Source organism: Homo sapiens, chromosome X (genome assembly GCF_000001405.40).
Source record: "Homo sapiens chromosome X, GRCh38.p14 Primary Assembly".
NCBI lineage: Eukaryota > Metazoa > Chordata > Mammalia > Primates > Hominidae > Homo > Homo sapiens.
The window spans coordinates 23,070,892-23,098,303 of record NC_000023.11 but is presented as its reverse complement, the minus strand read 5'-3'; the positions used below and the strand labels follow the sequence as shown (position 1 = coordinate 23,098,303).

At 36.8% G+C, this 27,412-nt stretch overlaps 1 long non-coding RNA gene and 1 pseudogene across 1 annotated transcript in view, besides 1 other annotated feature; one reads left to right on the top strand and one right to left on the bottom strand.

Annotated features, from left to right (window-relative positions):
• The window catches only part of PTCHD1-AS (PTCHD1 and PHEX antisense RNA), a 1,100,142-nt gene that overhangs the window by 194,843 nt on the left and 877,887 nt on the right, over window positions 1-27,412 (top strand). The gene's annotated exons all lie outside the window — the stretch shown is intronic.
• Window positions 4,739-4,977: a silencer, noted in NCBI's record as "fragment chrX:23111444-23111682 (GRCh37/hg19 assembly coordinates)". NCBI's record gives its function as "represses an EF-1alpha promoter that drives an FKBP-Casp9 reporter gene in an ReSE screen in K562 erythroleukemia cells {active_cell/tissue: K562}" and the evidence as "EXISTENCE:reporter gene assay evidence [ECO:0000049][PMID:32094911]".
• FAM3C2P (family with sequence similarity 3 member C2, pseudogene) lies at window positions 20,892-22,718 on the bottom strand (annotated as a pseudogene).

Below are 27,412 nucleotides of genomic sequence, written 5' to 3'. Positions count from 1 at the left end.
GTGGAGTCTTTAGGGCTTTCTAAGTATAGCATCATATAGTAAGCAAGGAGAGATAATTTAACTTCTTCTTTTCCTGTTTGGATACCTTTTATTTCTTTCTCTAGCCTGATTGCTCTGGTTTGGACTTCCAGTACTATGTTGAATAGGAGTGGTGAGAGTGGGCATCCTTGTATTGTTCTAATTCTCAGGGGGGATGCTTCCAGCTTTTGCCCATTCAGTACAGTGTTTGTCATGGATGGCTCTCATTATTTTGAAGAATGTTCATTCAATGCCTAGTTTGTTGAGCATTTTTCTCATGAGATGTTGGATTTCATTAAAAGGTTTTACTGTGTCTGTTGAGATGATCACATGGTTTTTGTTTGTAATTCTGTTTATGTGATGAATTACATTTATTGATTTGCATATGTTGAACCAACCTTGCATCCCATAAATAAATCCTACTTGATCATAGTGAATTAACTTTTTGATGTTCTGCTAGATTGGGTTTACAAGTATTTTTTTGAGAATTTTTGTGTCTATGTTCATTAGGGATATTGGCCTGTGTAGTTTTCTTTTTTCTATTGTGTCTTTGCCAGATTTTGGTATCAGTAGGATGCTGGCTTTGTAGAATTAATTAGGAAGGAGTCCTTCCTCCTCGGTTTTTTGGAATAATTTCAATCGGATTGGTACCAAGTCTTCTTTGTACATGTGGTAGAATTAACCTGTGAATACATCTGGTACAGGACCTTTTTTGTTTCGTAGGATTTTTATTACTGATTCAATTATGGAACTTGTTATTAGTCTGTTCAGGGTTTCAGTTTCTTCCTGATTTAATCTTGGGAGGTTGTATGTTTCCAGGAATTTATCTATATCCTCTAGATTTTCTTTTTTTCTTTTTGTTTTGAGACGGAGTATCGCTCTTGTCACCCAGGCTGGAGTGCAATGGTGCGATCTCGGCTCACAACCTCTGCCTCCCGGGTTCAAGCAATTCTCCTGCCTTAGCCTCCTGAGTAGCTGGGATTACAGGCATCCACCACCACACCTGGCTAATTTTTGTACTTTCAGTAGAGACGGGGTTTCACTGTGTTGGCCAGGCTGGTCCCGAACTCCTGACCTCAGGTAATCCGCCCGCCTCGGCCTCCCAAAGTGTTGGGATTACAGGTGTGAACCACCGTGCCCGGTCTACCTCTAGATTTTCTAGTTTGCGTACATAGAGGTGTTCATAATCTCTGAGGATCTTTTGTATTTCTCTGGGATTGGTTGTAATGTCACCTTTGTCTTTTCTGATTGCGTTTATTTGAGTCTTCTCTCTTTTCTTTGTTATTCTAGTTATTGGTGTATTGATTTTGTTTATCCTTTCAAAAAACAAATTTTTCATTTCATTGATCCTTTGTATGGATTTTTGCATCTCAAGTTCATTCAGTGCTAGTCTCATTTTAATAATTTCTTTCTTCTGGTAGATTTAGAGGTAGTTCTTGTTCTTCTAGTTCCTCTAGGTGTAATGTTTGGTTGCTAATTTGATATCTTTCTAACTTACTGATTTAGTGTTTAGCACTATAAACTTTACCCTTAACACTGCTTTTACTGCATCACAAAACCTTTGGTATGTTGTGCATCTGTTATCATTCATTTCAAATAATGTTTTGACTTTTGCCTTAATTTCATGTTTTACCAAAATATCATTCAGGAGCAAGTTGTTTAGTTTTGCTTGTTTGTTTTTTGTTTTTTTGTTTTGAGATATGGAGTCTTGCTCTGTTGCCCAGGGTGGAGTCCAGTGGTGCGATCTCGGCTCACTGCAACCTCTGCCTCCCAGGTTCAAATAATTCTCCTGCCTCAGCCTCCCATGTAGCTGGGACTACAGGCGCCTGCCAGCATGCCTGGCGAATTTTTTTGTATTTTTAGTAGAGACAGGGTTTCATCATGTTCGTCAGGCTGGTCTCGAAGTCCCAACCTCAGGTGATCTGCCCACCTCAGCCTCCCAAAGTGCTGGCTAAGTTGTTTAGTTTTTATGTAATAGTGTAGTTTTGAGAGCACTTCTTGATATTGATTTCTATTTTCAGTCCACTGTGGTCCAAGAGTATGTGTAGTGTGATTTCAGTCTTTTGAGTTTATTAAGACTTGCTTTATGGTTGAACATGTGGTCAGTCTTGGAGTATGTTTCATGTCCATAGAAGAATGTATGTTCTGTATTTGTGGGGTGAAGTATTCTGTACATGTCTGTTAGGTCCAATGGTCAAGTGTTGAATTTAAGTCCAGATTATTTCTTTGTTAGTTTTTGGCGTCAATGATCTGAGCTGGTGTGGCACTTATGGTCCAGTGTTTTTTACCCCAGCACGTGGTTGTGGGGTCTGCTAAACTCACACTCCCCCAACTGAATCCTGTCTGTTACCTGCCTCAGGAGCAGGCCTGCCCAGCTCGATTTGTTCTAAGGCTTCTGTACCCAGATCACTGGGCTGTTATAGGTTTGTGGGGCTGCAGGCCTCCCTTGGGCAGAAGCTGTGGCTGGATAACAGGCTGCTCCCTTCCCAGGCCAGTCTTGTGGAGGGAGGGATGCCCAGCTCCCATGCTGGCACATAAACCCAGCTCCCATGCTGGCACACATCTAAGCATTCTTTTCTTCCATCTATGTTTTAACATTTATTTTTTGTAAGTCTATACTTTATGCAAGTATTCTATTGATAAATATTCATTTCAAGTCATCTAAATCTAGAACTTGGCATATTAAACAATATATTCCAGTTATACTACATGGAAAAAGTAGTTCATATCCAGTTAAAATGGCATTATTTGTAAAAATTTATTTTATGTACTTTATTATTTTTTTCTATTTGTAAACTTGACTTCTCTGCAAACAACACTGATAAAACATACATGCGTATTCGTGGCATTCATTATTTCTAAGGTATTTATGCCTCTAGGAAAGCAGCCATGCTCAAATAATGTAGCTTGAGGCTAAGGTGAGCTATGAGTTAACTAAGGCCTGGATTGTTGCCAATATGTAGATTTTTATAAAATTTATATCCTCCTTTCTGTTTGTCTCTCACGTGACTATGTATTAGGTTAGTAAGCAGGCTTTGGATGGCTACATTTGTGATTCTGAATCCTATCAATAAAGCCTTTCCTGAACTGGTTGGGATTAGCAAACAATTCTAGAGTAAAAATATCACTATGTAACTGGCATGGTTTAGATATCTGTGTTTCATTAGTATGTAGGAAAGTGAAAAAGCCCTAGAAACCAGAAAGAATATATCAAATGGCCTGTTTTGTTCTTGTTGTTGGAGAAGGTAATCCTCATTGGCTAAAAATAGCTTATTTGGTGGGTCAGTGGTATGATGATTTCAAGGGCTTGTGTGTTTGCAATGTCTGAATAGAATGGCTTATTGATGTAGTTATTTTAGCAATTGCTATTTCTTCATGGGCTTTTCTTATAAGTTCTGGCATAAGTGAGAAGAGATCTCTAAATTGACACCAGCCCTAATGGCAGCTGTTAACTTTCATCCTAACGGGAAATGATTTGGGGGCTGTGGTTCCATTAAGAATTTTTAATAAGTCAGCATACTTTACCTTCCAGATTAGACCAACACGTATTGTTCTACTATTTTTTTAAAAAAGCGTAAAAAATGACTGTCTTAATAATAGCTAGGACTTGCTCCTCTGTGAATCAAGGGTTTTCTGTTGGTTGTTGGTTGTTCATTAGATAAAAGAGCGTTGCGATCAGTTAGTAATTATTTACTGGGATCCTGGGTCCATTCCTTTTTCTTTTACTAAATGAAGCCACTGATCCTCATGAGTAAAGAATAATGCCTTTGAAGTACTTAAGTCTTACATTTTGGGGAAGGAGCCCAGAATTATTGAGCATTTTCAACTACTGATGCCTATAAACATAATTTATTTAATGCAGTTTATGTCATTGACCTGTGATATTTTGACTGTTTTATACATGTGAGCATCTGTAACTTTTGTAGATTATCTCTCATCTCATATTGCCTATCATCTTTCAAAGAAAATTTGAAATTCTTAAGAGTTAACTAGACAAGTTAGAAGATAGATGAGGGTAAAAAAATCAGAAAAATTTTAAGTAATCATGTAGAATAACAAGTAAAAGTCACTGTGATCCTTGTGTGCAGTAGGCTGCCTTTAGGGCAATACAGTTTTTGTAAAATTTTACAAAAATTGGACTCCCCCCATTGAAACACTGTACTTTGAAAGAAACTTCAAATTCAGCATATTTTTTAAAAATCTGGATGATGACTCGTTTTCTTTCTTTCAAACCTTTTAATTTCGACAACATTTAGCTTAAGGCAAATTTTATCTTTGTTATAGCTATTTCAGAACAGCTTTTAAAATGCAATTTAAAAAATGGCATTTAGCAAGCAATTGCCTTTTCAACCTTAACCATAGAGCCTCTTCCATGGATTCCATTATATTTTATTAACATAAGTTAAAATAGGAGTGTTCTGGGTTTCACAAGGATTAAAGTTCCTATCTAATGTGCATGTAACTAAACGCACGTTTACGTACATAATAGCTATTGGTCACAGTTTGTATGATGGTCTTTCAGCCAGAAAACAGGGCTGCAGTTCTTACAGTAGTCCTTGAATAATGACGTTACATTCAACGTCTTTTCATTATTGGGTTATGAGAAAAAAATTTGATTCCAGGTGGGTGCCCCTGTCTGTGTGGAATTTGCACATTCTCCTCAAGTCTGTTTGGGTTTTCTCTGGATACTACAGTTTTCTCCCACATCCCAAACACACGCATCGCATGTTAGGTTTATCGGCTTGTTTAAATGGTCCTACTTTTGAGCAAGTGCGCTGTGTGTGTGTGTGTGTGTGTGTGTGTGTGTGTGTGTGTGTTAGTGCACCCTGCGATGGGATGGCATCCTGGCCAGGGTTGGTTCCTCCTTTGTGCCCTGAGCTTCTGGGATGGGCTCTGGCAACCCATAAGCCTGAACTGGAATAAGCAAGTAAATAATTATTTTGCTTTGTTTATTTTTCTTAAATGTATGTATAGCTCACATGCTTACATGTACTTCATTGTTTGATATTAGAAGTGTTTTTGCCTTTATTTAGAAGTTCGGTGATATTTCTGTAACTAGAAATAAGCCATAAGAACTTAACTCTTGTTTATTATATCAATTAGCCTATGGTAAAATTGATTTTATTATACTACATCATTTCTCTTAAAGTCACAGTTTCCAAGAACCTATCAAGGATGTTAGGTAAGGACTTACTGTATACTAGTTCAAATACCACTGGGCTGGTATTAAGACTACCCCCTCACTCAGCAGTGTGGGGCTACTCAGGTGCAGCTGTCAGCAAGCCTTGCTGATTGGTTCCTTCAATTGGCTGCTTCAGATTCCATGCAATTGACAAGTTTGTCTTCAGAGAGGAAGGCCTTTTAACTGAAAACTGCAATCAAAATTGTTCCTTACATTGCACAAAAACAGCATTTTAAGAGTGCAATAGTCATTCAAATTGAGGACTACATCCTGTAACCTTTTCCAGCTGGACTGAATTAAATATGTAACATCCCCAGGAGTAATTTTTGAGAACAGCACTCGGCTTTACCTTGACTACTGAATCATTAAAACACATGTGGAAACATTCCACATTCCTTCCATCTGACCCTTTGGCGATAAATGGCCACCTCCTGGCAATTTATATTGAAGTCTATTTCTAAAAAAATAATGTACGCCCACTTGGTCAGCCCTTAGGCATTTTGCTGTGTGCTTGAAAACATTGTCATGTGTTCCTGGATTTATAGAATATCCACATTCTCCTTTGAGTCTGCTGATACCAATTTCTTATTCTTTCATCTGCATAATAGCTTAATGTTAATAACTTGAAAAGTTCAGTTCTGTGGATTTAAAGAGGGCAATATAAGTTGATTGCCCTTTAATTATTGAACTTTTAAATATTCGTCTTTTGTCTGTTTCCTAAATGAGCAGAGAATCAAAATGGCATAGTTTTCAATAGTCCTGGCTTAGAGGAAAACTAATTGCAGACATTCTTTTCTTTCTAGAAACCTTCTTTATTACTTAGAGTGTAGAATTCCATATTTAATATGTATTTATAAACATATACTCCTCAAAATGAACAAAGCAGTCATGTAAATACTAGACTTGGATCAATAAAATGCTATGAATGTCGTATATATGGATTTCAGCCTAGTTTTTGATAAAGTCTCTGATGATATTTCTGTTGTAAGAAGGTGAAATATGGCCTATCAGTAAGGACAGCAAAATGCACTGGACCTCTTGGTGGTGGTGAACAGCCTCCTATTCCTTGTCTAGGTTATTGTCAGGTTGATTCTGTAATAATCTCTGGTCTCCTGCTCTCCCACCGACTCCTTATTTTTAGACTCTTATTGTCTTATTTCAAACAATTTCTTACTTAAAGTATTACAAATAAAAAACAAAAAGAAGCGCAACATGTAAAAATACAAAAAAGTATTATTGAACCGTAGGACGGCTCAGGATAAAGTGTATACAGTGAAACACAGAGAGAAAAAATGGAATATAAAGATAAAAGTGTAAGAGGCACCTAGGATATGGTGAAAAGTGCCAACATAGATATAACTGGGGTCAGACAAGGAATAATTGATTAATTATTTTGATATGCCATTTATATTTTTAGTGTTTTGTAATTTAATCTGGTATATGAGATGAGTGATTGGCTTTTAAAAAAAGTCATTCGTTTTTCTAACATTGTTGATTATATAAATATTTTCTCATGATTTAAAATGCTATCTTTATCATAAATTAATTATTATATATTTTTGTGTTTTAGAGTTTCTCTTCAGTTTCATTGTCCCACATGTATAATCCGGCAATAGTTGGATTTTTAATTAAAGTGGTTTTAGGTTTTAATATTCAACAGAACAAGTCCATTCTTTTTTTTTTTTTTGAGACGGAGTCTCGCTCTTTCACCCACGCCAGAGTGCAGTGGCGCTATCTTGGCTCACTGCAAGCTCCGCCTCCCAGGTTCTCGCCATTCTCCTGCCTCAGCCTCCCCAGTAGCTGGGACTACAGGCGCCCGCCACCACACCCGGCTAATATTTTGTATTTTTAGTAGAGACGGGGTTTCACCGTGTTAGCCAGGATGGTCTGGATCTCCTGACCTTGTGATCCACCCGCCTCGGCCTCCCAAAGTGCTGGGATTACAGGCGTGAGCCACCACACCTGGCCAGAACAAGTCCATTCTTAATATTCTTCCCTGTCAAGAGATTCTTAGCTTTTATTGTATTTTGTTCCCTGAAACGATCTTTAAAGTCGTTTTGTCAATAATCAAATATACTGTTGGAATTTTTATTGTAATTATATTAACCTTACAGACTCATTTGAGAAAAATTATAATTTTGAAACTGAGTATTCCTTTAAAGGGACATGATATAACTTTCTATTTAGTATTCATTTGTACCCTTAAGTAAAGTGTTATATTCCCTTTTATATACATTCTATATATTTTTGTTAAGTCTCTAAGTGTTGTATATATTTTATTGCTATGTAAAATGTGATGTTATTTCCATAATATTTTCTAACTAGTCATTTCTTGTATATTGGAAAGATACCAGTTTTTAAATGAGTTGTAACTTGCCACCTTATTGAATCTCATAAGTTTTGTTTTTAGATGACTGTCTTGTAATGTGTAGAAAAATAATCATATAATTTGCAACTAATTGCAATTTTGTCTTTGCAATATTTAAATCTCTGGGGCTTTTATTTATCATGGCATTTTCTAGAACTTCTGAGATAATACTGAATAAAAGTAATAATTGTTAGCTCTGTATTCTTCATAAATTCCCTCATTTGCTATTCAAAAGATTTATTAAGTGCCTGCTATATTCCAGTCTATAAGGTTAATGCAATTCCAATAAAAATTTCAACAATTTTTGTATATTGACAAAATGGCCTTAAAGGTCATTTCAAAGAATAAATGCACGAGACCATGGAGAAACTTCAGTGATTAAAATGCACAAAATCCTTGCAGTCACACATGCATTACCTTCAAATGAACATACTCCAGCAGATGGAGACCATCAACAAATATATAAACAAATAAATACAGTTTTGCATAGTAATAAGTGATAAGATTATGAAGAAAATATAGTTGAGAAATGCAATAGAAAAGGACTATGGACTGGGGATGCCACTATAAAACTGAAAAATACCTTTCAGAGGAGGAGACTTTTGAGATGAAATTTACAAGGGGAAAAGGGCATCATACAAATCTGGTGGGAGACCATTGCCAGAGAAAGAGCAGTAGGTGCAAGTACTCTGTGATAGAACAAGGACATCATGTTCAAGGGACAAGAAGGTGACTGTGGCTGGAGTGTGGTTGGTGGGCGTGAAAAAGATAGACTTTGAGGTATAAAAGGTAGAATGCAGGTGCTCTATGATGACTATGAGTCATCAGCATACAGATGATCTTTAAACCATGGTAGTGGATGAAGTTACCTGGGACGTGAGTACAAAGAGCAGAAAGAAGTATTCAAAGACAACCTTTAGAAGTTGCGAAGATGAAGAGAAGCCAGCAAAAGAGAATGAGAAAGAGAAGCTAGTGAGAAAGAAGAAAAATTAGGAGCATCTGGCACTGTGCTAGGCACTAGAGATGCGGTGGTGAGCACAACCCAACTTGGGGCTCCTACTCTCCTAAGTGCTTTATAGTCTAAATGTATTTTAAATAATTATGGTAATGTCTCTAATATTTCACCATTAAGTATAATGATGTGGGTAGATGTCTTTTTAGAAAAAAAAAGTTGAGCATGTACCCTCCTGTTTCTAATTTGCAAGGAGATTTTATTATTTTAAAATCATGAATCCTTACTGAATTTTATCAGATTCCCTGTCAACTTCTATCAGGCTGATAATACATTAATGAGCATCCAAAAGTTAAACCAATTTTGCATTTCTAAAAGAAACCATTTTTGGTCATGGTCAATTACTTTAAAATCCTCTCGTAGACTGGCTTTGCTATTAGTTTATTTAAGATGTTTTGCTTCTGGGCTTGTATGTGATTTGGCCTCAGTTTATGTTACTCTCCTTTTAAGGATTTGGAATTATGGTTTTGCAGGCTTCATGAAATAAATTAGAGGACTCATTTCTTTATGTTTTGGAGTGGCTTATATTACACAGGAATTATTTTTTCTTTAATATTTTAATAGATCATCCCCCATTCTCTCATAAAACATTTAGGTCCCAAACTTTTTCTTCGATGAGTATTGTTTTATTTATTTTTTTTTACCTTTGCTTGGTCATTTTTGCTCATTCATACTTTCCTTTTAAAAATCATCCATTTAATTAAGATTTTCCAATTTATTAGAATAAATGTAGTATTCATATATTTTTAAAATCTCCATTGTTTGGCTTCTCTTTTTGCTTTCAGATTTCCCAGAGGTTGGCAAGTTTACTGGTCCTTTAAAAGTATTAGCTCTTGGTTTTATTTGTCAGTTCTAGTCCTCGTTACTTGATTTTGCTTTCTAGTTAAAAAAAATCCTTTCTCTTGCTTTATTTTACTTTATTTTTCTGTGATATTTCTCAGTTTTTGAGTTGACTATGTCGTTTATTTCTTTTTTACATTTTTATATAGAAAAAAAGAATTTAAGGCTATAAATAGTCATCGGAACAAGCTTTTTGATATTCTTTTATTTCATATATAGGCTTACTAGTACCATTAATTTGCAAAAAGTTTGCTCATGTGGCTTTGGTTCTATTTTAATTGCAGTTACTCCAAATTAAAGTTTTACGTTTTTAAGTGGCTACAATCTTTTACTCTTTGTTATTAGTGTTCAGTTCTATAGAAGTTCTATGGCAGGTTTATTAAGGTCCTATTTAATCATTATTTTTGGTAAATATCCCATACATTTTGGAAGAAAAAAAAGAATATTCCTTGTTTGTAGGGTAGGTTGTGGAATTTTTCACACTGACACTTTAAGGTAATCTCATTATTTATAATATTTAAGGTCACTGTTATACTTACCATTTTTCTCCTTATTTTATATGTCATTTTCTCTCTTGCTTTTCTTTTCTTTTCTTTTTGAGACAGGGTCTTACTCTCTTGCCCAGGCTGGAGTGCAGTGGTACAGTCACAGCTCACTGAAGCCTTGACCTCCCAGGCTCAGGTCATCCTCCCACCTTGGCCTCCCAGTTAGCTGGGACTACAGGTGCACCCCACCCTGCCGGGCTAATTTTTTTTTTTTTTTTTTTTTTTTGAGATGGAGTTTTGCTCTTGTTCCCCAGGCTAGAGTGCAATGGTGTGATCTCGGCTCCCCGCAACCTCTGCCTCCCGGGTTCAAGTGATTCTCCAGTAGCTGGGATTACAGGCATGTGCCACCACACCCGGCTAACTTTGTATTTTTTTAGTAGAGATGGGACTTCTCCATGTTGGTCAGGCTGGTCTCAAACTCCCGACCTCAGGTGATCTGCCCACCTTGGCCTCCCAAAGTGCTGGGATTACAGGCGTGAGCCACTGCGACCAGCTGCTCTTCCAGTTTCTTAAGGGGGTATATTGAATTCTTCCATCATAACTGTATTTTATTTTTAAAATATTCATTGTATTTGTAACATTTTTGCTTTATATATCTTGAAATATTCAACCCTAATTTTTCAGTGGTTGACTACAAAAGGAAAACTGTGTTTAGTTTTGGTTTTTACTTTCAAGAAAAACAATGATAAACTGGATTGTGGCTAAAGAAGAGTGATCAGAGTGGTCAGAGGACTCAAAGCTATGTCACCAGGTGACTAGTAAAGAGAACTGGGAACATTTGATCTGGATGTTGAATGGTTATAGCTGTTTTCCACATGCTATTTTGAAGAGAGATTAAAATTGTTCTGAATAACTTAAAGAGCAGAACTAAAAAATGGAGAAATAATAAGCACGCTGATTTTGGCTTAGTATAAGGAGAATACTCAATTAAAATAGCTCCAAAATTGAACTGAAAGCTGCTAGAGGTAGTGAAATTCCCATCACCGAGCTGGTCCAGGAAAGGCTAAATGACAACTTGCCAGGCTATGTGGAATAATTCAAGCATCAGCTCAAAGGTAGTATTAGATGCTTATTACTCTGCCTCTGAGGAGACCTGTACTTTGTCATCGTTTCTCATTCACACTTTTTTGTATGTAAATAGTTAGATATTTTAAAAGCCTAAACGTAGCTAGAGTCGCTGGTCAAAGCTCTGTTGCCTCATGTCTGCAACCCTTTGGGACAACACACAAGGGCAAAACTTATACAGAACGTCTCCATTTATTTAGCATGATTGGGAGAATCTGAAAACGGTGGTCACTCTTAGAATCAAAGAATGGCAACATTAAATTGGATTTTAAAGACCCTCCAAATTCCCCTCCTAATCAGGCAGCTCACAGACCTCAAAACTATATTTTTCATTATAGAAGTCATATTCAGTTTACTTTCAAATATGTCTTTTATTTTTTCATAGAATATTGTTCTTTCCTTATAATGTCTAATATGTATTTTAATACTTAAAAATATTTTTCTATAAACTCAAAGATTTTATGGTCTATTCCTACTTTTGTGTGTCATATGAAGCTTTTCAAGATAGATCATTTCTTCGTTCTTTTTTTTTTAATTATCTCAACTTTTTTTTTTTTTTTTTTTTGAGACAGAGTTTTGCTCTTGTTGCCAAGGCTGCTGGAGTGCAATGGCCCCTGCCTCAGCCTCCCAAGTAGCTGAGATTACAGGCATGCGCTGCCATGCCTGGCTAATTTTTTGTATTTAGTAGAGACAGGGTTTCACTATGTTGGTCAGACTGGTCTCGAACTCCTGAGCTCAGGTGACCCACCCACCTCAGCCTCCCAAAGTGCTGGGATTGCAGGCGTGCACCACCACGCCCGGCCTAATTATGTCAACATCTTTAGTGGGGATTTCTTTATGGGGGAAATAATAATAGGCCTGGGCTATTGAAACATATAAATGGTGGTTTTCTGGTTGCTTCTGCCAGTCACCCTAAGGATATTACCGGCTCGGAGCTAATTTTGTTACTGTTTCAACTTGGAAAATCCACCATCACTAGGGAGGGCACATTTGGATTCAAAATCCATGTGTTACACTATCTTGAGGTTGCATTTTCTCAGGAGACTTTTTGTTTTTTAAATTTAGAGACGAAAAGCTGAGGCAATTTTTTTTTTGTTGCCATTTTCCAGAGATGGTGGTGAGGGTTTTAACTAGAGATACAGCCCTTCTCAAAGGTTCTGGTTTTATGAAGAATGTCTCAACACCAAATTCTTGACTTGCACTTATACAAACCTTCATTTTATATCTTTTTTACAGATTAAAACCAAAGTTCCACATCAAGAATATTTAAGAAAATATTGCAAATCAATAATAAAAGCTAAACAGCCCAGTGTAAAAAACAGACAAAATATTTGAACAGACACTTTACAAAAGGAGATACATAAATGGCCTATGAAAAGATGCTCAACAGCATTCATTACTCATTAGGGAAATGCAAATTAAAGTCACATCTACTTCAGAATGGCTAAAATTCAAAAGGCTGACAGTATCAAAGGTTGATAAAGATATGAAGCAACTGGAAGTCTCACTCATTGCTAGTACAACATGAAATGATATAACTGCTTTAGAAAACAGTCTAGCCGTTTCTTAAAAAGGTAAATGTATGCTTATCATACAACTCAGCAATCCCATTCCTTGGTATTCTTTCTAAGATAAATAAAAACAACTAGCTTTATAAAAAAAACTTTATGTGTAATAGATAAAAAATGGGAACAACCCAAATGTTCATCAACTGGTGAATGGATACATAAAGTATTGTATATTCCTACAATGGAATATTACTCAGCAATAAAAAGAATGGACTACTGATGCATTCTTGATTAATGAATTTAAAAACATATGCTGAGTGAAAGAAGCCAGACACAAAAGCAAAATAAGCCAGATATGCTGTATGACTCCATTTATGTAATTCTAGAAATGGCAAAGCTAGGTTGTAGTGATAAAAAGTAGATCGGTGGTTGTCTGGGCTAGGAATGGGAAGAGGAATTGATCGGGTAGGGGCAGATGGGCACTTTTTGGGAATTTGGAAATATTCTATGTCTTGAATGTGATGGCAGCTGGTGTGTACATTTACCAAAATACATTGGATGGCACACCAAAATTTATATATAAATAATGGTGTACCATAATTTATATATAATTTATCATATAATTATAATTATACAATATCTCAATTATAAATTATATAATAATAATATATTATATATTATATAATTATAATTATATGGTAAATTGTATATTTATATATAATAAATCATGTATAATTATAATTATATTTAAATTATATCTCAATAAACTTGATTATAAATATAAAACAAAACAATATATACTTTTATTTTTAATTTCAATCCCTGGGGTGGCTGCTATATTAACTAGTGAGAATTTTGCTTTGAGAATTTGTAAGATTTCTAGTTTACTTACAATACTTTGACTTTGAAATCCACATTTCTGGTATATAAAAATTTATTTTTTTCTTGTGAACTGACTACATAGTTTTAAGTGTTTAATCTTTGTTGAGCAGTGCTAGATGTTATTGCAAGAGCAATTTCACATTAGCCATGTTGTAGTTCTAGAAATTGCAGAGTTCTGTGCTTTTTGTCTTTGTTTTTCTAAATGGTGAATTTATTATGGGAATTAACTTCTACTCCTGAAAAATATCCTAACTGATGAATATTTGATGTGTGAGGAATACAAAGAAGACATTAATATTTATTTTGTGCTTATTGTATGTTGGGCACTGTTCTAGATGCCTTCATATCTGTTGGCTAGTTCAATTCTCATACTAACATTTAGACTGAGTATTTTTATCCACATTTTATGTGTGAGGAAACTGACATTAATAGATTAACTTGCTTTGGTTCCTACTGGCAACAAATTGCAATCTGGAATGCAAACCAAGCCTTCCAATTCCAGTCCAGTTGCTTTTATTTAAGGTTGCAAAAGTATCATGCCCTTAACCTTTATCTATGGTTTTAAAAATGTAAATACAAACATAATATACAACAGATCGCTAGAACTTATTCATCCTGCATAATTAGAATTTAAACCCATCGAACAACAACTCCCTTTTTCTTACTCCCCACAGTCCCTGGAAACCACCATTCTATTCTCTGCTACTGTGAGTTTGACTATTTTTGATAGTTTGTTTAAATGGAATCATGTGTATCTGTACATCTATGACTGGCTTATTTCACTTAGCATAACGTCCTGCAGGTTCATCTGTGTTGTGGTTAAATTTCCTTCTTTTTAAAGGCTGAATAATATTCCATTGTATGTATGTATATACTACATTTTATTTATCCATTTATCTGACAAACATTTAGATTGTTTCCATATCTTGACTATTGTAAATAATGCTGCAATAAACTTGGGAGTGCAGGTATTGCTTCAAAATCCTGATTTTGATTCTTTTGGACATATGTCCAGAAGTTGGATTGCAGGATCATATGTTCTAGTTTTTATTTTTTAGAAACTTCCATACTTTTTTTCCATAATGGCTACACCATTTTACATTCCCACCAACAGTGAAGAAAAGTTTCTATTTCTCTACATTCTGGCCAACGCTTATCTTTTGTTTTTCTGATAATAGCTATGATACGAGGTGTGAGGTGATATCTCATTGTGGTTTTTATTTTCGCTTTCCTGATGATTTGTGATGTTTGATGCCTTTTCATTCACCTGGTGGCCATTTATATGATTTTTAATGAAAAAATGTCTACTCAAGTCCTTTGTCCGTTTTAAAATTGGGCTTTTGTAGACTGTTAAATTATAGGAGTTCATTATATATTTTGGATATTAACTTTCTATCAGATAAATGGTTTGCAAATGTTTTCTTGCATTCCATATTCACCTTTTCACTCTGTTGATTATTTCCTTCGCTTTGCTTTTTAGTTTGCTGTAGTCCTAATTGTCTATTTTTGATTTGTTGCCTATGCATATTTAACAATATGGTATTGTGAACTTAAAAAGTTGTTGAGGGGTAGATCTCATATTAAGTGTTTTTATCACACACATACACACACATGCACACACACACACAACCACAGGGGCACAAGTAAACTTTTAGAAGTGATGGAAATGTTTATTGCCTTGATTGTAGTGATGGTATCACATATGTGTATGCATATGCCCAAACTCACCAATAAAATATGCGAATTTTTGAACATCAATTATACCTCAACAAAGCTATTTTTTAAAAAGAAAATATACAAACAATGTATTTATTGTTGAAAAATCCTTTTAAAGATATTGTACATAATGTTATTTGATTTTCCTTATATCATGGCTCAGGTAAGAAAGTCATCCAAAATTGAATACCAGAAATACCTTCATCTCTTTAAAAATTTGATCATAAAATGGTAATTGTCTGATTTGCCCTCCTTTTTGGTGCTATGGTTTGAATGTGGCCCCCACAATTTATGTGTGGGAAACTTAATATCCAATGCAACAGTTTTGAGAGATGGGGCCTAATAGGAGGTGTTTAGATTGTGGGGGCTCTGGCCTCATTTATGGATTAATGCTACTATTAAAAAAGACTTACAGGAATTGGTTCTCCCCCTTCTGCTCTTCTGCTATGTGAAGGCATAGAGTTCACTCCTGTCTTACCCTTACCCCTTTTGCCATGTGAGCATGCAGCAAGAAAGCCTACATCAGATGGTGGCACCTTGATCTTGGACTTCACTGCCTCCAGAACTGTGAGAAATAAATTTCTGTTCTTAATAAATGACCCACTCCCAGGTATTCTTTCATAGCAGTGCAAAACAGACTAAGGTATTCTGGATGGGTTCTCATGGCTCCTGCCTTTGACAAAGTTCCTGGCTGGGGCTAGGTGTGAAAAGGGACAGGACTGATTTATGACTTCCGTGTTCAAGAAAAAGAGCAACTGTTGTCTGTATGCCAGATAAAGGATATCAGGAAATTAAGGGACAGTCTTGAACATAACAATTCAGGTTTTTAACAGAGGATTACCATCCTTGCACTAGCTTATGGGCTGGAGCATGGAAACAACCCAGGATACATCATACTTAGAGAGAGGGCCCTTTTATGGCCTTTTAACCTGCTGTTAAGTCCAGAGTAGCAAATGAAAATTTTAAAGCACCAGACTTTTAAAGATAAAGATTATGTAACCCTCATGCCCTTTATGAGTTGATTGACAGGAATTTTAGCACTAAATTTATTGCTCAAATTACAGTAACTATACTAGGCCAGTATATTTGCAAGAAGGTAAGCAGATACCAGATCATGGAGGAGCTCATGGTACTAGACTAAGTAGTTAGGAATTTGTCTCAAAGTTGTTGGATAACCACTCTATTATTTAAGTGAGGAACAGTATGGTAGTTTGTACTTTAAGAATTGCTCTGTGTCATTTTGGAGGTGAAGTTGGGGCAGGAAGACCCAGAAGTCAATGATACCAGTGAAAAAGTTATTGCAATTATCTTTTGTAAAGGATACAGACCTACACTGTGGCATTGGCAGAGAATCATAGAGATTGTCAATGGTGGGTAATAGAGACAGGAGTCTAGATTTTTGGCTTAAAGAGTTTAGTGGATCTGGGTGCTATTTAAGAGGATTAGGGATTGCAGGCAATGGATATGGGCACCCACCCAAATATAAGCACCTAGGAATGCATTTTAAAAGTCTTCATTATGGTGACACAAGCTCTAAAGAAGAAGGAAAAGCGTTTCTTAAGCTTTAATGTGCATACGTAAGAACTGGAGATCTTGCTTCTGTGGCTTGTAATTCAGTAGGTCTGTATTTCTAATACTCTCTCAAGTGATGCTGATACTACTGGTCCTTAGAATTCACTTTGTGTAGCTAGGCCGTTTCCATCTCCTGTACTCTCAATGTTTAATCTTTACTTTTACCTCTCTGGTTCTCTTATGTTTGCTTGGTTCCATATTTTGGTTTTCACTTCTCTCTTCTTGGTCCCATTAGTCAACAGCTCATTTTAGATGGCACTTTATAGTTTCACAGTGGAACCTGACTTTCAATATTAAACTTTTGCTGAAGGTATAGATTTGGGAGTTGTGCACATATGTTGTAACAGATTCTGTAATTGTCCTACCTATGTGTGTATGGGCTTTATCTGCATAGGGCAGACTTGCAATTGCATTTTTATGACTAAATATTTTTCGTAGTGTCACAGCCTTCTCTACCCATGTACTCATGTACCTGGAGGAGGCAGGCTGATAGCCATTGACCAATGGCTGACTGAAATTGGTGTATTAATACATAAACTCCCTCACCTATCAAGTTGGATAACTCTGAGGCATGTCTTCTGCAGAGTTTACCAGACTTCCCCAGTGAGTTTTAGCTCTCTTTACCCCCAGTGGTAACTTGCTTGGAAATTCACCCTTTATAGGCTACTTTCCCTTCCCTATATTACTTTTCGACTCCTCTTTTGGTGTTTCCCAGGATCATCTCCCAAATACAGTGGTTTTGTGAGGAACCCAAACATTGCTGGTCGTTAACACTGAGTGTGTACGTGAAATCCATGGGGAAGAGTGTGTAGAGTGAAAGAGAATATGTATGAGGATGGAATAATTAGAAATAAGGTCTATATCTGTGTGTCAAATAAAACAAGTTCAAAGAAGCAGTGGCCAGAGAGGTAGAATAAAAACCAGAGTAGACCTACCTTCCAAACTAGTTCTTTCTCCTGAGCTCTGGACCTACATATCCAACTGCCTTCTGGGCAACTTAGCTTGAACATGAGGGTCTCTATGAAGAAACCTGAGGCTCATCCTTTACTTCTTTCCTCTCTGTTACTACTCACATTCAGGAGACCACTAAACACCACCAAAATCTCTTGCTTCTGCATCCTGAATAGCTGTGAAATCTAGCCATCTACTTCTCTTTGTGCTTTACTGACAACCATTCTAGTTTAAGCTGCCATCATCTCATGCCTACAATGGCCTCCCCATATTTTCCTCTACCTCTGATTTTGACCCCTTTAATCAGTACTCCACGAGGCAGTCACACTGATCACATGTCTCTGTGCTGAAAGTGGTTCAAGATACTCCATTCTTCTCCAAATGAGTTCCAAACTCTTTAGCATGATAAATGTATTCAGACCTCTGTCCTCTTCTCTCACTGCTTTGCCCCAATTCCTTTGACTACTCTGATCACTCTTCTTTAGCCACAGTCCAGTTTATCATTGTTTTTCTTGAGACAGAGTCTCACTCTGTCACCCAGGCTGGAGTACGGTGGCGCGATCTCGGCTCACTGCAAGCTCCGCCTCCCGGATTCACGCCATTCTCCTGCCTCAGCCTCCCGAGTAGCTGGGACTACAGGCGCCCGCCACCACACCTGGCTAATTTTTTGTATTTTTAGTAGAGACGGGGTTTCACCATGTTAGCCAGGATGGTCTCGATCTCCTGACCTCATGAGCCACCCTCCTCTGCCTCCCAAAGTGCTGGGATTACAGGTGTGAGCCACCGCGCCCGGCCCTGACTCTTAAGCTCTCGCCATCCTGAGCTACTTGAAGTTCCCCAAATTCTCTATTCTTTCTTGCCTCTGGGATTATGTATATACTGATTTATCTCTGGAACTCCATTTCCCTAAATCCTTCCCCTGGATGACTTGACTAATTCTTCCAGACTCAACTGGAATGCAATGCCCTATGGGAGCTTTTCCTAACCCCCGAAGTCTGGGGCTGGAGCCCCTATTATTGCAATATTTTCTCACTGTTTTATGACATTACCACTCTGATTTATAATTATCTGGTAATTACTCTGTTTTGCCACTAGGTTGTAAACTCCTTTGAGCTTTGAGACTCTTTTAAAAATTATTATTAATTATTGTATTCCCACTGCCTGGAATAACATAAGTGCACAATATTTTTTTTTTAGTTAATGAAAGGAATGACTCAGCAGCTTCAAGTGCTTGAGTAAGTATTCCAACAAGATGGAAAATAACTGAAGATGATTTTTGCAATGAGGAAGTTATCAATGTCTTCAGCAAGATCAGCTATACTTCAATATGTGGTATACATAGTATTTGTGTTGCTTTGGAGGTCAGCTTTCAATCGTAAGTTGAGATAACAGAAAACATGGAATTTTAGGAAAAAACATTAGGGATGTGGGAGATGTTTAAGAAATACTCCAAGTATTCATTATATTCCAATTAAAGTTCAATTTGGGGTGGATGATAATGTTAAGCTTTTGTGCACTGATGGTTTATTTTGCAAACGTGTATTATTATTCTTTAGCAGATGATCAAAAACTAGGAATAAGTTAAGCCAGACAATTCTCCTCTCTTGGGCACTACTAGTAATGTAACTGGGGGATATACCTTCGTACTTAATACAGTGTGAGAACTCTTAGTCGGTGTCACAGTATCACCAAAAGGCAAAAAGGTTTTGCTTGAGGGGCCATTAGCAGATTTTAACTTTTGAAAATGTCATGTGTGGGAAGGGAGCAACCCTAGCCCAATGATTTTAGGAACATGGCACATAGGGAATTTACCCTTCCTGGCTATGGAGGTTTTCCAGCTTGCTGATACACAAGATGAAAAAGGCCTCTGGAGTATGAATTATTATAAGTGTGAAGTGTCAAAAATGTGCTCTATTTCAAGTATGCCTGAGGTATTCTTCTTACAAATTTTACAGGCACTGATACATTTTATTCATGAAGTGCTGCTCACCAAAATGCTTGCAGCATATCACATGAGTGATAAAAATGTTGGGAATATAATGAAAAGGTTGTAAATTATATACAGAAAGGAACAATGTCTTTTGAAGAGTTCTCAATCTGCATGCCTCTCCCTGTTTTTAAAAGAACTAAAATGAATTAGAAAGAAAGATGCACATTGAGCAATTGTATCTCTCATTTATATAATCTTGATAATTAGTTTTATAAAGAACAACTTCTGCTGCTCTAGAGCAAGTTTGAGTAGAAATATATTTCTTTTTTTTTTTTTCACAAAGCAAAACCAAGAGTATTTATTTTCATTATTTTAAAAAACTGCAACGTTTATTTCACAATCCCTGGAACTGTAAAATAACTATTCTTTTAATTTACAGAATTGAGGGAAGTATTTTAAATGTCAAAATACACATGCTGAATGTGATTTAGCATATAAGCACCAAAAATCCCAAAAGTATACAAAGATTGTTTAAACATATAAGGTGCATTTATTCATGAATTAATTACATTCAGTTTGAAGGAAGAAACAGTACTCCAAAGTTCATCAATATTTAAGAAATTATCCGAATAGCTTCCAACTTGGTTTACAGCTAAATAACAGATACTGCTTTTAGGTTTTTTTATACAATGCATCTAAACCTTAGGTTCGAAATTTAAGTGCTGCCTTACACTGTGAATGGCAGTTTGATCACTAAATTTATGTTCCAGTTTGAGATACTTCATACACAACATATATTTAATGCCCTGAAAACTTCTGCTTAAAAACTGAGTTATTTAGTGAACATCTGAAGGTAACAAAAAAAGATAGATCTTGTATATTTTTATGTAGAATTGGGTATAAAGTCATTTGGGGTCAAACACAATTATTTTTTAAATATTATCAGTCCACCCAGTAATAAGAACTTTTGTAAATATGCCACTATAGCTTCGGGCAATAATTGCTATTATGAAGTTAGATAAACACAGGATTAATTTCTTGGTTTACAAATCAAAATTATTGTGATATTAAAGCATGCCTCCTTCCAAACCACTTGGTCAATGCTGATAACAACTAAGAAAAACGTATGCTAGTATTGCTCTAAATATACTGACTTAGCTGTCCTGAATGACCTAATTAGGTTGGGGAGGGGACTTGGCCTGGTTCTCCAGTTCTGTGAAGCTGCCACCTCCAGCCTCACTCTAAATAGCTTATACAAAATCAAGTTATTCCCATAGCTAACACAAATCCAGCAAGCTGTGGTCCTAAATGCCATCTACATTTATATATTTACTTTTTTACTGTGTACATTAAGAATTTTGTTGTGCTTTTCACATATCCGATGTATGTTTTCATATTAAACATTCCTCAGTTTCTTGGGAAGGAAAGAAAAAGATCATGAAAAGAGGTACATCAGGAGAGTCGGACTGTAAAGTAACATTACACACACAACTAGCCAAATCTCTTTTTAATTTAAAAGATAATGTCATCACAAGGCAACATATAGAAATATAAAAGAAAATAAAGTATCCACCCTAAAATCCCTATTATTCCATGATATTTTCACAGCAACTAGTATATATATCAATATATTTTTCACAAACCATTCAGTTACACATTGTGTATGCTTTTAGAATTTAAAATATGTATTACCATAGCAGTCTAAACATTGTACTTTTAGGGAAATGTGCGGAGACATGGTTCAGTGATTTGATCATTGTGATGATTATTTACAATGCTATCTATTTACGTTAGCAATAAATAATCCTGATATCAAAAGAGACAATACTCATGCACACACCAAGATGGCTGCATGCTCTTAAAATATTTACACATAGCTCTGCCTTTTATAGCTCTCCCATTAAGAGTGAAAGTGCGCTTTCTTCAATTCTCTCCACATTTCCATTAGTCTTGCTTCTGGGGGATGCATCCTTCCATTTCTACAACTTCAGGCCATCCTTCATATTTGTTTGTATCCTTATTGTTCTTTATGTGCTGTTCAAAAGGGCTTTTTGTCTTTTTTTTTTTTTTTTTTTTTTTTTTTTGAGACGGAGTCTCGCTCTGTCGCCCAGGCCGGACTGCGGACTGCAGTGGCGCAATCTCGGCTCACTGCAAGCTCCGCTTCCCGGGTTCACGCCATTCTCCTGCCTCAGCCTCCCGAGTAGCTGGGACTACAGGCGCCCGCCACCGCGCCCGGCTAATTTTTTGTATTTTTAGTAGAGACGGGGTTTCACCTTGTTAGCCAGGATGGTCTCGATCTCCTGACCTCATGATCCACCCGCCTCGGCCTCCCAAAGTGCTGGGATTACAGGCGTGAGCCACCGCGCCCGGCCAGGGCTTTTTGTCTTAATGCCCTTCCCACCACAGAAGACCCAGTTGTCTCTAAAACCAAGATTAGTAATAGATGTGCTCCCCAAATCAGCAATGAGCCGCCGTGCCTCATCATTGAGTTTGGTTGCTCCATCATCGTATGTTCCCATTAAAACTATTGTTCCATCTTGTATGGCCTTCAGAAACTCAATAAATGGTGCCACATCTCCTCCCCACATGTCAAAATATTTAGTGTCTAATACTTCTCCTGTTTTTCCATTTGCCAAGGCAACATTGATCCCTCTTCCAACATTATTCTTAACACCACTCATTAAAACATTATCTTCCAGGCAGATTTTGGGTCCCACCACGTTGGCTGCTCCACTTGCCATTTTAAAAGCAAAATGCTTCTCAGGGCAAGCTTTTGAGATCCCACACTTATATCTGGGAGGCTTTGTAGAACGTGCAGCTGTGTCCAATGCTGATCTTGCAAATAGATTTCCTAAACTTGCATCCATTTTTATTTCAAATACTTGAGAAATAACATAAAATGTCAGTAAAAACACTGCCACAGCTACCACCAACTTTGCAGCACCTGCTACCCTCATGTTTGGTTTTTCAGTTTATGGCACTTTTCATTAATATGCTCCGGCCTCCCGCCCGCCTCTCCGCCGTGCGCGCCCGCCTTCCGGCTTCCCAGCGCTCAGTCCTGCCGGAGGCCGACGGGAGCCGCCGCCTCCAGCTCGCGCCTCCGCTTCCTCTCGGACTCCCCCGGCTGCCGAAATATATTTCTTAAGGACATTATTACATTGAAATGAGACAAAATTATAAGTAGACTCAAAGTAGTAATACTTTTAAAGGCCAATTATAAAGACTTTTGAATAGATATCAAATTAAAGATCACTAGGAATTTAACTATATGCAATTTATGATGCATTATATGTAATGTAATGCTACGATGTTTAGTGTATCTCCTTAGTATACATGATGATATCTCTTTACAAGTGAAAAACAATTTGTTAATTTATTCATTCAACAAGTATTAATTGAGTATGTATTATATGTAGGCACAGTTCTGGCTATGAGGTTTATAATGGAAAACAAGACAAACTCCTTGTCCTCAAGGAATTTATATTGGAAGCAAAAGGATATAAACAAATGGATATAGTATATAATGTAATGTCAGATTATGATAGGTATTATGGAGAAAAATAAACCTTAAGAAGAAGATAGAGAATAGCAAGGGAAGGTTGTGCATACTGTGTGGTTAAAAAGGCCAGGGAATCACTTTATGCCCCAAATAAGTCAAAACATCCACAATTCCAAGTGATGAGTCAAACAAAGGAAGTATATTTAGTGGAAACCAGAAATTACTATTTTGGTAGGACTTATAATTGACAGTATTTTCAGATTTGGTATTTTTTTCTATTTCCTTTTTCTTTTCTTATTTTTTCTTTTTCTTTTTCTTTTTTTTCTTTTTTTTTGAGACAGAGTCTTGCTCTGCCTCCCATGCTGTAGTGCAGTGGCACGATCTGGGGTCACTGCAACCTCTGCCTCCCAGGTTCAAGGGATTCTCCTGCCTCAGCCTCTCGAGTAGCTGGGATTACAGGCACCTGCCACCACGCCAGGCTCATTTTTGTATTTTTAGTAGAGACGGGGTTTCACCATGTTGGCCAGGCTGGTCTCGAACTCCTGACCTCAGGCAATCTGCCCGACTCAGTCTCCCAAAGTGTTGGGATTACAGGCATGAGTCACCGAGCCTGGCTACTTTTTTTTTTTCAACTTTTGTTTTAGGTTCAGAAGATACAAATGCAGGTTTGTTACATGGGTAAATTACACATCACTAGGGTTTGGTTTACAAATAATTTTATCACCAGGTAGTGAGCATAGTACCCAATAGGTAGTTTTTCAACCTTCACCCTCCTCCCACTGTTTACCCTCAAGTGGGCCCCAGTAGTGTCTATTGTTTTCATCTTTGTATCCATGTGTATTCAGTTTTTAGCTCCTACTTATAAGTAAGAATATGCATTATTTGGTTTTCTCTTCCTGTGTTAATTAGGATGATGGCCTCCAGCTGCATGTATGTTGCTGCAAAGGTTATTATTTCGTTCTTTTTCTGGTTGTGTAGTATTCCATGGTGTATATGTACCACATTTTCCTTATCCAGCTGACTGTTTATGGGCATCTAGGTGGATTCCATGTCTTTGCTATTGTGAATAGTGCCATGATGAACATAGGAATGCATGTGTCTTTTTGGTAAAATGATTTATATTCCTTTGGGTCTATGCCCAGTAATGGGATTACTAAGTTGAATGGTAGTTCTTTTTAAAATTCTTTCAGAAATTACCAAACTGCTTTCCACAGTGGCTGAACTAATTTACATTCCCACCAGCAGTATATAAGCATTCACATTTCTCTGCAACCTTGCCAGCATCTGTTACTGTTTTTTAACTTTTTAGTGATAGTCGTTCTGCCTGGTGTGAGATGGTATCTCATTGTGGTTTTCATTTGTATTTCTCTAATGATTAGTGATGTTGAGCATTTTTTCATATGCTTGTTAGACATGTATATGTCTTCATTTGAGAAGTATCCGTTCATGTCCCTTGCCCATTTTTTAATGGGGTTGTTGGTTTTTTGGTTGTTAATTGGTTTGAGTTTTTATAGATGCTGGATATTAGACCTTTGTCAGATGCATAGTTTGCAAATATTTTCTCTCATTCTGTAGATTGTCTGTTTACTCCATTGATAGTTTCTTTTGCTGTGCAGAAGCTCTTTAATTAGGTCCCACTCGTCAATTTTTGTTTTTGTTGCAATTGTTTTTGGAGACTTTGTCATGAAATCTTTGCCAGGGTGTATGTCCAGAATGGTATTTCCTAGATTTTCTTCTAGAGATTTTTAGTCTGAGGTCTTACATTTAACTCTTTAATCCATCTTGAGTTGATTTTTGTATGTGGTGAAAGGCCCAGTTTCAATCTTTTGCATACAGGTAGCCAGTTATCCCAGCACCTTTTATTGAATAGGAAGTCCTTTCCCCATTGTTTTTGTTGACTTTGTCAAAGGTCAGATAGTTGTAGGTGTGAAGCTTTATTTCTGGGTTCTCTAACCTGTTCCATTGGTCTATGTGTCTATTGTTGTACAATTATCATGCCGTTTTGGTTATTGTAGCCTTACAGTTTGAAGTCAGGTAATGTGAAGCCTCCAGCTTTGTTCTTTTTGCATAGGATTGATTTGGCTATTCAGGCTCTTTTATGGTTCCATATGAATTTTAGAAAAGTTATTTCTAATTCTGTGAAAAATGATGTTGGTAGTTTGAAAAGAATAGCATTGAATCTGTAAATTGCTTTGGGCAGTATGTCCATTGTAACAAAATCGATTTTTCCAATCCTTGAGCATGGAATGTGTTTCCATTTGTTTGTGTCATCTATGATTTCTTTCAGCAGTATTTTGTAATTCTCATTGTAGTAGAGATCTTTCACCTCTCTGGTTAAATGTACTTCTAATTCTTTTGTGGCTTTTGTGAATGGGATTGCATTCTTGATTTGGCTCTCAGCTTGGATGTTATTGCTATGTAGAAATGCTACTGGGGCCGGGCATGGTGGTTCACGCCTGTAATCCCAGCACTTTGGGAGGCCAAAGTGGGAGGATCACTTGAGCTCAGGAGTTCGAGACCAGCCTGGACAACATTGTGAGTCCTTATCTCTATGAATAAATAAATAAATAAATAAATAAATAGAAATGTTACTGATTTTTGTAAATTGATTTTTATGTTGAAACTTTACTGCAGTTGTTTATCAGTTCTAGGAGCCTTTGGGCAGAGAAAAAGGGGTTTTCTAGGTATGGAATCATATCATCTGCAAACAGCGATAGATTGACTTCCTCTCTCTTATTTTGATGAGTTTTCCTTCTATTTCCTGATTGCTGTGGCTAGTTCTTCCAGTACTATCTTGAATAGGAGTGGTGAGAGTGGACCTCCTTGTCTTGTTATGGTTCTCGGGGGAATGCTTCCAGCTTTTGCCCATTCATTGTGATGTTGGCTGTGAGTTTGTCATAGGTGGCTCATTATTTTGCAGTATGTTCCATTGATGCCTAGTTTGTTGAGGGTTTTTAACATGAAGGGATGTTGAATTTTATTGAAGTCTTTCCTGCATCTATTGAGATGAGCATGTGGGTTTTTTTTGTTGTTGTTGTTTTTCTATTTATGTGATGGCTCACATTTATTGATTTTTATGTGTTGAGCCAACCTTGCCTCCCTGGAATAAAGCCTATTTGATCGTGGTGAATTAGTTTTCTGATGTGCTGCTAGGTTGGTTTTGCCAGTATTTTGTTGAGGATTTTCGCATCTGTGCTCATCAAGGATGTTGACCTGATGTTTTCTTTTTTTGTTGTGTATCTTCCAGGTTTTGGTATCAGAATGATGCTGTCCTCATAGAATGAGTTAGGAAGGAGTCCTTCTTCCTCTGTTTTTTGGAATAGTTTCAATAGGATTAGTACCAGGTCCTCTTTGTACATGTGGTAGAATTCAGCTGTAAATATATATCATGGAGGGCTTTTTTTGGTTGGTAGGTTTTTTATTACTGATTCAATTATGGAACTCATTATTGGTCTGTTCAGGGTTTAAATTTCCTGCTGGTTCTATCTTTGGAGGTTGTGTGTTTTTATGAATTTATCTACTTCCAGGTTTTCTAGTTTGTGTGCATAGAGGTATTCATAATAGTCTCTGAGGGTTTTTTTTGTATTTCTGTGGGATCAGTGATAATGTCCTTTTTTTTCATTTCTGATTGGATTTTTTGGCTCTTCTCTCTTTTCTTCTTTATTAATCTAGGTATTGGTCTGTCAATCTTATCTATTCTTTCAACTAACCAACTTTTGGTTTAGTTGATCTTTTGCATGGATTTTCTTGTCTCAATTTCTTTCAGTTCAGCTCTGATTTTGGTTATTTCTTTCCTTCTGTTAACTTTGAGGTTGGTTTGCACTTGTTTTTCTTGTTCCCCTAGGTGTGATGCTAGGTTGTTAATTTAAAATCTTTCTGAATTTTTAATGTAGGCATTTAACATCATAAACTTTCCTCTTAATACTGGTTTTGCTGTGTCCCAGAGATTCTGGAACATTGTGTCTTTGTTTTCAGTAGGTTCAATGAATTTTTAAAAATTTCTGCTTTGATTTCATTCTTTATCTAAAAGTCATTTATTTATTTTTATTTTTATTTTTCTTGAGACAGAGTCTCACTCTGTCACCCAGGCTGGAATGCAGTGGTGCTATCTCGGCTTACTGCAAGCTCTGCCTCCTGGGTTCACGCCATTCTCCTGCCTCAGCCTCCTGAGTAGCTGGGACTACAGGCGCCCGCCACCACATCTGGCTAATTTTTTGTATTTTTAGTAGAGACAGTGTTTCACCATGTTAGCCAGGATGGTCTCGATCTCCTGACCTTGTGATCCGCCCACCTCGGCCTCCCAAAGTGCTGGGATTACAGGCGT